Here is a 15,164-nt window from a genome sequence, read left to right as displayed (position 1 = left end):
TGTTTGTTTGTTTGTTTGTTTAAGACAGAGTCTTGCTCTTTCGCCCAGGCTGGAGTGTGGTGGCGCAATCTTGTCTCACTGAAACCTCCACCTCCTGGGTTTAAGCGATTCTTCTTCCTTAACCTCCTGAGTAGCTGGGTCTATACACGCCCGGCTAATTTTTGTATTTTTAGTAAAGACAGGATTTCACCATATTGGTGAGGCTGGTCTCGAACTCCTGACCTCGTGATCTGCCCTCCTCAGCCTCCCAAAATGCTGGAATTACAGGCATGAGCCACCACGCTTGGCCTGATTTTGTTTGTTTGTTTGTTTGTTTGTTTTTGGCAGAGTCTTACTCTATTGCCCAGGCTGGAGTGCAGTTGCGCAATGTCAGCTTACTGTGACCTCCGTCTCCCAGGTTCACCAATTCTCATGCCTCAGCCTCTCAAGTAGCTGGGATTACAGTTGTGTGCCACCACGTCAGGCTAATTTTTGTATTTTTAGTAGAGATGGGATTTCACCATGTTGGCTGGGCTGGTCTCGAACTCCTGACCTCAGATAATCCACCCGTTTCAGCCTCCCAAAGCTGGATTACAGGTATGAGCCACTGTGCCCTGCCAGAGTCCAAACTTTTCTATTATAAAATGTAGGTTTTATACTAGAAGGGAAAATGTGAGATTAAATGTTGACCTTTTTAGAATCATGACTTATTTCTGTGTAGGTTTTCAACTTTTATTTAAGAATAATTGTTTAATGTTAGAAGGATAGTTAATGTTGGAATAAAAAGATGGTCAGGCTATTATAAAAATGCATTAGCTTTTGCTTTACTTATTTATATAATTTTGCTTTTGTGGGACCTATCCCCTTTCCCTCCCCGTAGTGGCCATACATTTCACAGTGCTGTCTCAATGTTTTACATAGAAATTTTATTTCGTAATTAATAAACTCTCGTGCCACTCCTTGGAACCACTTGCTTGTTTAATTTTAGTCTGTGATCATTTTCTTGATTTTTAGAGCCTCCCCAGTTAATTTCTGTGGGATTTTTACTTATATTTTGAATATGAAATGTCTAAGGAAAAAAACGAAAGAAAGTCAAACATTCCTGAGAGTGTTTAAAATTATTGAAGTATACCTGCTAATTGTTACATACATTTTGTCACATATTTTAGAAAATATAGAACTCTTTTAGCTTATTTTCCTTTAGAAATCATTGTTCCTAGTTAAAAAAATTTTTTTTAATTTGGTTTTGTTTTAGGAAAGGGGATTACCACAGGTATCTGGCAGAATTTGCCATCACCACTATTTATTTGAAAACTTCTTCTTCACCTCACATGAAACAAACTATAGCCATTAAACAAAAAGTCTTCATTTCCCCTCTCCCCAGCTGCTAGTAACCTCTATTTTACTTTGTCCCTATGAATTTGCCCATTCTAGATACCTCATGTAAGTGGGATCATATGATGTTTGTCCTTTGTGGCTGCCTTTATTTCACGTAGCATGATGTTTTCGTTTCATCCATGTTGAAGCAAGTATCAGCGCTTCAGTCCTTTCTATGACTGAATAATAATTTGTTTTATGTATTTTGCACACATTGTTTAGCCATTGAACTTTTGATGGACAGTGGGTTTCTTTCCCCCTTTTTCTTGTGGTGAGTAATGCTGCTGTGAACATTGGTGTGCTAAGTATTTGCCCAGACTGGAGTGCAGTGGTGCAGTCTCCGCTCACTGCAACCTCTGCCTCCCAGGTTCGAGCAATTCTCCTGCCTCAGTCTCCCGAGTAGCTGGCATGGTGGCATGCAGCTCTATTGCTAGAAACTTGGGAGGCTCAGGCAGGCAGATCGCCTGAGCCCAGGAAGTTGAGGCTGCAGTGAGCTATGATTGCACCACTGCAGAGACAGAACAAGATCCTGTCTGAAAAAGAAAAAAAATTACACACAGAATTACCTGTCCCAATTCCACTCCTAGGTGGAGTTGAAAACAAGGACACAAGGCCAGGCGCAGTGGCTCACGCCTGTAATCCCAGCACTTTAGGAGGCTGAGGAGGGCAGATTGCTTGAGGTCAGGAGTTCGAGACCAGCCTGGCTAACATGGTGAAACCCTGTGTCTACCAAAAAAACAAACAAAAAACACAGGCCAGACACAGTGGCTCATGCTTGTAATCCCAGCACTTCGGAGGCTTAGGCAGGCAGATCACTTGAGGCCAGGAGTTCGAAACCAGCCTGGCCAAAATGGTGAAACCCCGTCACTACTAAAAATACAAAAAAAAAAAAAAAAGCCAGGAGTGGTGTCACTCACCTGTACTCTGGAGGCTGAAGCACGAGAATTGTTTGAACCCAGGAGGTGAAGTTGCAGTGAGCTGAGATTACGCTTCCAAAAACAAAAACAAATTAGCCAGGATTGGTGGTGCATGCTTGTAATCCCAGCTACTTGGGATGCTGAGGCAGGAGAATTGCTTGAGCCCTGGAGACGGAGGTTGCAGTGAGCCAAGATTGCACCACTGCACTCCAGCCTGGGGAACAGAGTGAGACTTCGTCTCAAAAAAAAAAACAATACTTCCATGGCTAAGATCATTGTTGATATCTTCAGGCAACATCAACTCAGATTCTTTGTAATGCATATCTGTCTGTATTTTGCTTTTCAAAGAACGGATCTTTAAACATCACTTATAAGTTTCCTTAGAGATCCATGGGCTAGGAGTCAGTGGTCCCGGACTCCACTGCGAGGTGGCACCTAATAACTCTTCTCTCCTCTCCAGCCTAAGTGCTGAATTGTGGGTAATGGCTGAATCCTCCAGCCTGGACATAGTAACATCAGGAAGCATGGGCAGCCAGCGCAGCCTAGGGCTGCGGAGAAACATCACGGGGGGAAAGGGAAGGCCCAGAAATAAGGTCTGGTGCCTCCATAAGGAAGGCTTTTCTTTCCCCGGCCTGAGCTGCTTTTGTTACCTGGAGTCTCCCACAACTCCTTGCAATTCCCCAAATGCACCAGGTTCTCTCTGGCCCAAGCCAATTTTCCACCATCTCTTCCTTCCTACTGACGCAGTTTGGTTAATTCCTACTGATCTTCTAGAACTCAGCTTAAGGGACACATCTTCCAGGGAGCCTTCCCTGCTTCCCTAGGCTGAGGTAGCCTCCTCCTCTGGCCTCTCAGAAACCTTTCACCCTTGCAGCACTTATCACAGGACACCATGGACATCTGTTTGATCATCTCCCACCTGGATTCCCCCCTAAACTGTGAGCACCTTGAGGGCAGGTGCTCATCTTGTATGCCAAGTGCCTGGAACAGGCCTGGCATGTAATGAGCTCTCTTGGTGAACATGCAATGAAATGGATGGAAGCTTCCATGACAGCTGTTTTCTTCAGGAGCTGCTGCCTGCAAAGAGAACAATTCACTGAGCCTGAGAGAGAGCAAGAGTTCTCTGAGAGTTTCCCAAATTATTTGTCATTGGCAGAGCGCCTCCATGGAAGGTGCAGGGGACCCAGAGGCAAAAATGATGTGGAGCCAAGAGGCTGGCACTTCTGTCACTCCAGGCAAGCAGGCAAGCCTCAAGCCCAGTCCCCAGACCCCCAAGTGCCCTACTGCGGGTCCCAGGAGTAGACTCCCTGCTGTCCTTAGAGAGCTCCTGATGGTCCTCGCAACTTCTGAGTCACTCCTTCTCCCACATCATCTGCCTGTGTTTCCTGTTTCCTGGGTACAGGAGTCCGTGGAGAAAGAGAAGGGACCAGGCTTCTCTGGGAGGAGGAACTGCCCATTTGTGCAGTGAAAGGCAAGGCCTCTTGCAGAGGGTGAAGGAGGTGGCTTTGACTTTGGGAAGCTAAGCAGCTGACCCTGGCCCTGTTGTATCTTGGAAGGACATCAAAAAAATGAGCTTAGATGGCAAAGACAATATTTAGGTGAGCTACCCAAAATAACTTCTAGACAGACACGTGGAGGGGCACTGTCCCCTCTCCTGTTCAAAAGCTTTGGATCCAAGCCCAAGCTACAAGTAGAGCAGGCAGCAAGCTCCCTGGAGTGGAGGCATTCCGAGGCTGGGTGGCCCCTTGGCAGGAATGCCTTTGGAGGATTTCCAGAAACAGCTGGACTAGATAGACTTTGAGAGTCCTCTGACTCACAGATTGATGATTCTCACAGGAGGAGTTTTCTGGAACAAAAGGAGGCTTAAGAACATCAGTTCCTCGAGGTTCTAGGGGGTGAAGGGAGGGGACACAGAGGGCATGTAAGAGGAACTTGACTCCTGCCCCAACAAAGCAGTGCAGAGCTTCTGGGAGAGGAGTCCCATCTCCAAACCTCTTAGTGAGGTCCAAGGATCTGGGGTGGAGGTGGGGGAGACAGACAACAGCAGGCTGGAGCTGGGCAGGTGGGGCACGTCAGGGAATTCAGCTGAGTAGGATGAGGGACCAGCAGGGGCTATAGATCAGCTAGCCAGAGGTGGAGTCCAGGGAAAGTAGACAAAAGCACAGTGCACCCAGCACCCAGTTCATGAGCTTGCCACACTCTCTGCTCTGTGACTGCAAGAAATAGACAGCGCTTTATCCAGTTGGAAATTATAAGCAAAACCTCTAAGTGCCACCTCCTGGTGAGAGCTCCCACTTCCACCACTTCCAGTCGGAGTGCAGCCCTGGAACTGTGTAAGGCCCATTGCTCTGGAATTAAGACCAATAGCCTTAGTGTGGCCTTTAGACCCTACATGATCTGGCCCCTGCCTGCCCCCAAGCCTGGCCTTGAGCAGCTCTCCCAAGTCCTTGTTTACTCCACATATGCTGGCCCTCTGTCTTGTTCTAGAAGGCATGGTGTCCCTTCCCTCTGGCCTCTCCATTACGCTGTTTTTGCTGCAGGAACACCCACCTCATTGAACTCCACAACCAGTGGAGACCTCCACCTATTCCCAAGTTTAGCTCAAAAGCCACTTCCTCCAGGAAGCTCTTCTGGATACCCCAGATCAGGCCAAATTTCTTTCTCCTAGCCCTGTGTGTTTCTCCTTTAGACCATTCACTACAATTGTAGTTAAATGACTGTCATTTAACATCTGAATCCTCTGCTAGACTGTAACCCCTGTGGGGGCAGAGCTGTGTCCATCTTGTTCACCACCAGACCAGCCCAGAGCTTGGCACAGAGTGAGTACTAGGGAATAATTGTAGGGAGAGACAGAGAGAGAGAGAAAGGAAGAAGGAGGGATAGAGGAAAGGAAGGAAGAAGGGAGGGAGGGAGGAAAGAAGGAAGGAAGGAAGGAAGTCCCAGAGAAAAATATCATTCTTCATAATAGAAAGATGATGGAACATGAAACATGATTAATTAAATCATGCACATAAATAGAGGCCCATATGTCAAGGTTCTGTTTGTTCTGTGACAGTGTAAAAACTGCACATTTTTTATCAAGATGGAAAAACAAATAAACAAAACACCATGTGCTCCATCTCCTGGTAAGACCTCCTGCCACTGCGTCAGAGTGAGCTCCACGCAGGTGGGCCTCCAAGTACAGAGAGACCCGGTCCCAGTTTCAGAGCTGGGACCCGGAAGCCAAGCTGGAGGTCAGGGACCAAAGGCAAAGAGATCAGAGGTAGATGAATTCTCTCCTCCTCACTGAGTCCTGGGCTTGGTGGTTGGCTTGTTTCATCTTCACAGTAAGTCTGTGAAGTAGGAATCATTATCCTTATTCCACAGGTGAGGAAATTGGGCTTCAACAGGATAAAGAATTTGGTTAGTGTCATACAGCTTAACAAGTGGCAGAACTACAGCTTGTCATAGCTCCACTTGACCTCAACAATCATGTTCTTTTTCTGTAGCTTCTTTGAACAAGAGGCAGAGGTCTTGCTAACAGCTATTGGTGTAGTATTGAGGCTGTGGAAGTCAGGGCAGTGCTGGGCAACACCTGCTGTTTTTACCTGTGCCACAGCCATCCCCATTTCTGGCAGCACATCCCTCTCTCTGAGGGGTAACTCATTCTATGTGGTTCTGGGGAGCTGACCCTGTCCTTTTTTCTCCTCAGATTCCAAAGGTAGATAGATGCCTCTGTTCTTAATTTTTTTAATTAAAAAAATTTCTTTTTAGACACAGAGTCTTCCTTTGTCACCCAGGCTGAAGGACAGTGGTGCGATCTTGGCTCACTACAGCCTCAAACTCCTGGGCTCAAGCAATCCTCTTGCTTCAGCCTCCTGAGTAGCTAGGACTCCAGGCACGTGCCACCAGGCCTGGCTAATTTTAAAAATTTCTTTGTAGAGATGGGGGTCTTACTATGTTGCCGAGGCTGGTCTTGAACCCCAAGGCCTCAAGTGATCCTCCCAGCTTGGCCTCCCAAAATACTGAGATTACAGGTGTGAGCCGTGGCAACAGGCCTAATCCACCTGTTAGAACACCTATCCCCAGCTAGGTGTGGTGGCTCACGCCTGTAATCCCAGCACTTTGGGAGGCCAAGGCGAGCAGATCACCTGAGGTCAGGAGTTTGAGACCAGCCTGGCCAATATGGTGAAACCCTGTCTCTACTAAAAATACAAAATTAGCTAGGCATGGTGACACATGCCTGTAATCCCAGCAGCTCAGGAGGCTGAGGTAAGAGAATCGTTTGACCCTGGGAGGTGGAGGTTGCAGTGAGCTGAGGTTGCAGTGAGCCGAGGTTGCAGTGAGCCAAGGTTGCACCATTGCATTCCAGCATGGGTGACAGAAAGAGAATCTGTGTCAAAAAAAAAAAAAAAAAAAAAAAAAAGACCAGACAGGGCCAATCAGAGGCCCTCTGGATTTTGGATTTTGTGCTGAATCTATTGGTCTTTTTCTCTGAGGTGCTAAGTAATTTGGAAACAGAATTGGGGCTGCCATGGGACATCCTTCTTGCCATGTGCAGAAGGCCAGTTATGGACTCAAACCATCAGACAGAGGGAAGGAGAAAGGGAGACATAAGATGGAGACCACTCTGAAGACCTTGTTTGAGCTCTGGATCCAATCATGTCTGAATTGCCCTTGCTTGGACTTCCCAGGTCCACGAGTTAATAAGTTCTTTTTTTTTTGAGACAGTCTCATTCTGTTGCCCAGGCTGGAGTGCAGTGGTGTGATCTCGGCTCACTGGAATCTCCACCTCCTGGGTTCAAGTGATTCTCTTGCCTCAGCCTCCCAAATAACTGGGATTACAGGTGCCCACCACCATGCCCAGATAATTTTTGCATTTTTAGTAGAGACAAGGTCTCACAATGTTGGCCAAGCTGGTCTCAAACTCCTGGCCTCACATGATCTGCCTGTCTTGGTCTCTGAAAGTGCTGGGATTACAGGCATGAGCCACTGCGTCTGGCCAATAAGTTATCTTTTTGCCTTGAGCAGATATAAGCTGGAGAAAAGTAAGTTCACCTGGATGGAGGAGATGAGAGGGTAGACTTGGAGCTCAGCAAGACCTAGAACTGCTCAAGTGACACCAAAGGGGACAGGAAGGGGAGGTGATCTCCTTTGGAGGATTTGGAGGTCAGTATGTCTGTGCCCCGACCCAAATCTCAGCTTGAATTGTAGTTCCCATAATCCCCATATGTCATGGAAGGGACCTGGTGGGAGGCAACTGAATCATGGGGGTGCTCGTGATAGTGAGTTCTCGTGATAGTGGGTGAGCTCTCACGAGATCTGACGGTTTTATAAAGGGCTTTTCCCCCTTTTGCTCGGCACTTCTCGCTGCCATCATGTGAAGAAGGATGTGTTTGCTTCCCCTTCTGCCATGATTTTAAGTTTCCTGAGGCTTCCCCCAGCCATCCTGAACTGTGAGTCAATTAAACCTCTTTCCTTTGTAAGTTACACAGTCTTGGGTATTTCTTTATTAGCAGCATAAGAATGGATTAATACAGGAGGGGAAGCAGAGTCTATTGACTTGACAAGGGCCATCTTGTCAACCACCTACCAGCCTGCCATGTGACTTTGTACCCATGGTGTACTTCTCTGATCTCAGGCCTGCCATCTGCAGAGGGATGTACTAATTTGCAAAATACACCAGGGACTGCTTGTTCCTGGGAAACCACAGTGAAATGGGAAAATTTCCAGTGAAATAAATATAAAGAGATCTTTCCTGGTCTGGAGAGGGAGGAGGGGCCACACATTTACTGAGCACCTAATGTGTGTTGGGAACACACACTAGGTGCCTTGCTGCTTCATTATAAGCCACTAAACTGAAAACAGGGTACAATGCTTGACATCCAATGAATCGCTCTCTCCAAAAGGAAATATTTTGGGGCTGAAAGAAACATCCCAAATAATCCTCACAAGAGTCCGATGAGAAGAGAGCCAGAGACAAGGAAACTGATGTTCAGAGAGGACCAGAGACCCCCCACAAAGCCACAGAGTTGGTAAGTGGCTAAGGCAGAATTCAATGCACATCTTTTTTTTTTTAATTTATTATACTTTAAGTTCTGGGATACATGTGCACAACATGTAGGTTTATTACATAGGTAGACATGTGCCATGGTGGTTTGCTGCACCCATCAACCCGTCATCTAGGTTTTAAGCCCCGCATGCATTAGGTATTTGTCCTAATGCTATCCCTTCCCTTGCCCCCCATCCCCCGACAGGCCCCAGTATGTGATGTTCCCCTCCCTGTGTCCATGTGTCAATGCATATCTTTCAGGCCCAAGAACTTACACATTTTGCCCTTGGCCTGGACTGACTGAAGCCAACACCTTAGCAAGAAACACCCATGGTAGGAGCCTCCTCTGGGCATCTGGGGCAGAGGAGATGGAAAAAACAGGTTGAATTATATCACTTACGAAAATAAGACTGAAAGCATTCGATGATGAGGGATGTGTAACTGATGCAACACCAGTGATATCAGGAATGGCTTGGAATGAAGGTCTTATCTAAACCCTTGGCCTTGAGGGTGGGAGATCTTGCTTGTGCGAGGACAGGGAAGCTGAGAGATGGCCATAGTTGTGGTCAGGAGGGCCTGACACTGTCAGAAGAGGGGTTGTTTCTGCACAAGGCAAAGGAAACAAGGCAAGAGGGATAGCAAGAGAGACTTAGGATAGATAAGGGAAACTTCCTTGGAGGCACCAGTAAGGAAGCTGTGGGCTGGTGGACTGGATGACTTTGCAGGATCTGTGGAGACCAATTGATGGGGACCGCTAAGAGCTATCGCTCTGAGGTCAGCCCGGCCTGGGTTGGAATACCAGCTCAGCCTGTCATTGACTGTGTGACCCTGGGTTTCTTTGTTCAGAGCCTCCATTGACATTGGGAAATCAGCATAGTCTTTCATCAGCACCCGGCACAGTCTTCAGTGTGTGGAGCAGGGACAACAATAGAGATGCTCCAACCTTATGCTCTGGGGAGGTGGGAGGCCTCTTCCACTCCCTCACCTTCCCCTCAAGTAAGGCAGGGTGGGGACAACTTTCTACTTGCAGAGGTCCCTAGAGTGGAAAGCGGGGGAAGGGGATGGGGGACCCTGAGCCTGAGCCTTGTGGAAAACATTTATTAGCCAGGCACTGTGTCTCACACCTATAATCCCAACACTGTGAAAAGCCAAGGCAGGCGGTTCGCTGGACTCAGGAGTTTGAGACCAGCCTGGGCAACATGGTAAAATCACGTCTCTACAAAAAGTACAAAAATTAGCTGGGTGTGATGGCACGTGCCTGTGGTTTCAGCTACTCCAGAGGCTGAGGTGGGAGGATTGCTTGAGCCCAGGAGGTCAAAGCTGCAGTGAGCGGTGTGATTGGGCCACTGCACTCCAGCAGCCTGGGTGACAGAGTGAGACCCTGTCTCAAAAAAAGGAAAAAGAGAAAGAAAAAGAGACAAAGAAAACATTTATCTGAGACTTTGGAAACTTTTTTTCTTGGGGGAAAAATATACTCAGTTTATCGTTTCCCTGTTTTCTGTGTGAGGGAGAGGAAAAGTCTTAAATAAACCTCTGGGCACAGGCCCCTCTTGTTTTGGGAGAAACACTTCTGTGGGCTTTGGCTGACTGTGGGTTAGACCAGACCTTATTCCGGAGTGGACCAGGCCCAGCAGGAAAGGCGACCTCGAATGCACGGTGTTCCCAAATCTTTGGGAACAATTTTTTTTATTTTTATTTTCTTTTTCTGATTTTTTTTTTTTGTAATAGGGTGTCCCTCTGTCACCCAGGCTAGAGTGTAGTGGCACAATCAGCTCACAGCAGCCTCAACTTCCTGGACTTCAGCAACTTTTTGTAGAGATGGGGTTTTGCCACGTTGCACAGGCTGGTCTCAAACTTCTGAGCTCAAGCAATCAGGTCACCTTGGCCTCCCAAAGTGCTGGGATTACAAGTATGAGCCACCGCACTAGGCCCAACATTTTTCTTCCCCCGACGGTATAGAGATATGGACTGCACTGCCTTGAAAATTGTCTGGGCCAGGCACGGTGGCTCACGCCTGTAATCCCAGCACATTGGGAGGCTGAGTTGGGAGAATCTCTGGAGCCCAGGAGTTTGAGACCAGCCTGGACAACATAGTGAGACTCGCTCTCTGCAAAAGTGAACAAAATTAGCCAGATGCGATAGCACTCACCTGTGGTCCTAGCTACTCGGGAGGCTGAGGCAGGAGAATTGATTGAAGTCAGGAGGTCAAGGCTGCAGTGAGCCAAGATTATACCACTGCACTCCAGCCTGGGCGACAGAGGGAAGCCCTGCCTCAAAAAAAAATTAAATAAATAAATTAATAATAATAATAATAATAATAATAATAATACTTTTTAAGCTGTCGTGGGAGTTTTTTAAAAAGAAAAAAAGAAAAAGAAAATGGTCTGTCCTTGGGAGAAAAGTGTGTGTGTGTGTGCGCATGTGTGAGTGTGTGGATGTGGTGTGGGGGTGGTACTAGTGACATGTACGTGTGTGTGTGTGCGTGTGTGTGTGTGTTAGGGGGCTGTTTTCTGCCCAGGAGGCCCCCCAGGAGATCAGGCTGGTGTTGCAGGAAGGCTGCTGAGGTTTGTCTTCATTTTCTGTTGTTGATGGGTGCCTTCGGGGCTGGTTGGGGACTGCCGAGTCCCCTGGGGTCACTGCAGAAGGAAACCCATAGGCTTTGGTTCCTGTGTGGTTGTAGACATCTGGATTCTCTTAGATTATCATGGGAGAGGTAGAGCTTTGTTTCTTTGTTTCTTTTTTCAGACAGTGTTGGAGGGTGCAGTGGCATGATCATAGTTCACTGCAGCCTCGAACTTCTGGGCTCAAGTGGTCCACCTGTCTCAGCCTCCCAAGTAGCTAGAACTTCAGGCCAACACACCCAGCAAATTTTTAAAAATTTTTTTTGTAGAGACAGGGTCTTGCTATGTTGCCCAGGCTGGTCTCCAACCCCTGGCCTCAAGTGATTCTCTAGCCTTGACTTCTCAAAGTGCTGGGATTATAGGTAGGAGTTACCGCACCCAACCTGGCTTCCAGTTTTAAGTCTGTTTCTCCAGCCTCTCAGTTCCCTCCTGCTATGGTTGAGCCTTCAGTAATGCTGGGTTGACCACTGCAGCCCTGTCTTTGCTTTGGGGTGTTAAAAGGCAGCCAGCGTCCACACCTAGGGCAGACCCATGGAGGAGCTGATGGTCTTCCCCCACACCTTCTTCTCCAAGGCCTCTAAGGTGGTGCAGCACCATTTCATGAAAGACTAGCAGCAAAGTGGGCGAGGTCCCCGTGGAACCAAGTGACTCTAGGGAGCCCAGTACTCTGGCGTGGTCACAGTCTCAAGCATTGACAGACGGGGAACCAGACAGAGGTAAACTCCCTCTGCCGCCAGTACTGGAAGGGAACAAACCTGAAGGCTAGAGCCAGCATTCCATGGTAGAAAGGCAAACTAGTCACTTGTAAGCTATTTAGTATATTGATCAGGACTCCGTCAATTGTGAAAGACCTAGTTTATATTAGCTTTAAACAAAAAAGAAATGCATTGGCTCATGTAGCCAAGAAATTCAAGGGACTCAGGCATGACTAGATCTAGTAGTATTCTGGGACCCTAGGTTTGTCCACCTCTCAGATCCACTTGCCTCTGCTTGACTTCATTCCCCAACAGGATCTTATTCAGCAGTGCTAAAATGTCTCTCAGTATCTCCAGGTCTATATGATCTTAGAAGTTATAATTCTAGAGAGAAACTCTCTGTTTCAGAGTCCATGATAAAACTTCCAAAAGGATGTAAACTTGTGGTGTTTAATATGGAGACATAGATAGAGTGTGTTCCCCATTCACAATAAGCACACTGGGGGGCTAGATCCTTTTTTATTTTTTTATTTTTATTTTTATTTTTTGCCACCTGGCAGTGAGTTTGCCTAGGGCATGGATCTTGACTTCTAAACACAACTCTATGCTAAAAGGAATTAGAATGCCTTAGAGAAATGTCTAATTCCAAGGCCGAGCCTGGGAAAGTACCATATGAACCCGAGATATCTTATTAAACCAGAAAGCAAGGAAGCACTTAAAGGAGGACACAGAAGCTGGCTTGAAGAAGCTCCCACGAGCCAAATCTGGGACAACTTGAGCATCAAGATAAATAATGAGAGTAATAGATTATAAACCCTTGGATAAAATAGGAAGCAATGAGTTCATACTAATATAAATAAATAAGCAAACAAATAAATGAAATGATTAAGGAGTAATGGGGTCAGGCACAGTGGCTCATGCCTGTAATCCCAGCACTTGGGAGGCTAAGGTGGGTGGATCACTTGAGCCCAGGAATTCAAGACCAGCCCGGGCAACATGGTGAACCCCATCTCCACAAAAATTACAAAAATTAGCCGAGCATAGTGGCAAGTGCCTGTAGTCCCAGATACTTAAGAGGCTGAGGTGGGAGGATCATTTGAGCCCAGGAGGCAGAGGCTGAAATGAGCCGTGATTGTCCCACTGCACTCCAGCCTGAGTGACAGAGCTAGACCCTGTTTCAAAAAAAAAAAGGAAAAGTGGAATATTTACATTGTCTCAAAGTAACTGCCCCCAGATTTTATTAATAACTTCACAGTGGAGGAGGCTGGCCAACATTGCCTTAATCCAGTAACAAAGTGAGCATCACCAGCAATGGGGCAATCCAAAATGGCGCCACCTGATAGGATGCAATGAAAAGAATACAGCTGCACTTCTGTGATGTTCATGCCAAAGATGCCTCATCTAAATCTGATCAAAAGGAAACAACAGACAAACTCAGGCTGAGGTTCATTCTACACAGTAACTGGTTGGTCATCTTTATAGGACCAAGGTCATGATAGTTAAGAAAAGATTAAGGAACTTTTTCAGACTGAAGGAGAGTAAGAGTCTTGCCAAGTAAATGCAGTGTGTGATTCTGAATGGATCCCTTTGCTATAAAAAATGTTCTCGGGCTGGGCGTGGGCTCACACCTGTAATCCCAGCACTTTGTGAGGCCAAGGCAGGAGGATCACTTGAGCCCAGGAGGTCGAGGCTGCAGTAAGCTGTGATGGTGCAACTGAAAAAAAGAAAAAGAAAAAAGAATATTTTGGAACAGTTGGTGAAACCTGAATGAAATCTGAGGATTTAATTATAGTAATGTATCAGCATGAATTTCCTGATTTTAATAGTTGATGTAGTAGAAAGTCCCTGTTTTTAGGAAACACACACTAAAGTATATTTGGAGGCGATGGGCATCATATCAGCAAATGTATTCTCACATAGTTTAGCAAAAAGGTTTTTTGTACTGTACTTGCAATTTTCTACAAACCTAAAGATGTTTTAAAAAATTTTTAAATATAGCCCTTCAAAAATTCTGATTGGCCCTGCTGGGGTCACATATTTACCCTAGGCCAGTTGCTTTGCCCAAGGGTCTGAGGTCTTCTGAATGGCCATTTAGATGTGTGCCCACTCCTGAGACAGGGAACCCAGGTTGAGGGTGGGCAGTGGGAGTGACAGCTTACCAGGATCAGATGGACTGAAAAACAGCCGTTTCCTGACACAGGGAATTCAGGACAGACCAAAAAAGGAACAGCTGTGTACTCCACTTAGATTAGACTATGATTATTAACTTTGGGAAAATGGTCATTTAAAAGCACATAACCTTTGACTGAGTAATTCCACTTCCTGGTAATCTATTTCAAGAAAATAACCCCAATACAGAGGAGGGGAAGCTCTATATTCAAAGACGTTGGTTCCAATGTTATCTATGGTACTAAAAAACTAAAAGGCACTGATGAGTCCCCATATGGAAGAAAGGTTGAGGAACGTGGCTAGAGGGCTGACCATCTCTGAGGACATTCGCACACAGCTGGTGGGCTTCTGGGCTTCCTAACCATAGGCTTCCATTTTCCCCCATTCAAGTGAGACCATCTTGGTCCACCTGACTTGTCTGAGCCACCTCCTGGCATTAGGTTCCTGGTCCTCATGCCACTGTCACCTTTCCCTCATCCAGGGCAGGTGTCTCTCTAGGTTATAAAGAAGGCAAGGAGCCTTGGATGTGTACTCTTCGTGATCAGCCACTTGGGCTGGAGCCTAGCGCCTCTGGTCCCGAAATGAAAGCAAGATACTATCACTATAATCATGATCATGACAATGATTATGATGATTTTAAAATTCACTGAGTGTGAAACATGCCAGGCACAGCTCTAAAGGCTTTTCCTGTGCTAACTCGTTCAATCCTTACACCGTCTCTACAAAGTAGTTGCTAATTTCATCCCCTTTTTTCAGATGAGGAAACTGAGTACCACGCAGCTAGAAAGGAGCACGTATCTAGACTGTTACTTGAGCTCCTGCCTTCAGAAGTTCTCCTGAACTGACTCAGCAATTCTCTTCAATTTCTGGCACCTTCTTTGGCCCATCCTTTCTTTTCTTTTTTTTTTTTTTTTTTTGAGATGGAGTTTTGTTCTCGTTGCTCAGGCTGAAGTGCAATGGTGCGATCTCAGTCTTGGCTCACCACAACTTCCGCTTCCCGGATTCAAGCAATTCTCCTGCCTCAGCCTCCTGGGTAGCATGTGCCACCACACCAAGTTAATTTTGTATTTTTAATAGAAATGGGGTTTCTCCACGTTGGTCAGGCTGGTCTCAAACTCCTGACCTCAGGTATTCCGCCTTGGCCTCCCAAAGTGCTGGGATTACAGGCATGAGCCACCCCGTCCAGCCTCCATCTTTTCAATACTTAACATTTATTGAGGGAAGTTAGAGAGATATTGTGACAGGTACTTGGGATACTGAAGTAAAAGATAACAGGTCCTGGCCTTGAGGTCTCGCAGTCTAACAGGGTATATGGACATGAAGGCAAACAATACAGTCCAGGAGATGTTGGAAATTGAGGTTTGGACAAAAGGCT

At 46.5% G+C, this 15,164-nt stretch overlaps 1 annotated feature.

Annotated features, from left to right (window-relative positions):
* Positions 8,999-9,498: an enhancer, noted in NCBI's record as "H3K27ac hESC enhancer chr17:25730235-25730734 (GRCh37/hg19 assembly coordinates)". NCBI's record gives its function as "activates a minimal SCP1, AML or CMV promoter by ChIP-STARR-seq in primed H9 embryonic stem cells {active_cell/tissue: H9 hESC(primed)}" and the evidence as "EXISTENCE:reporter gene assay evidence [ECO:0000049][PMID:30033119]".

The sequence above is a fragment of the Homo sapiens genome, chromosome 17 (assembly GCF_000001405.40).
Source record: "Homo sapiens chromosome 17, GRCh38.p14 Primary Assembly".
Lineage (NCBI taxonomy): Eukaryota > Metazoa > Chordata > Mammalia > Primates > Hominidae > Homo > Homo sapiens.
The sequence above is the reverse complement of the archived record's forward strand: the minus strand, read 5'-3'. Positions and strand labels throughout refer to the sequence as shown.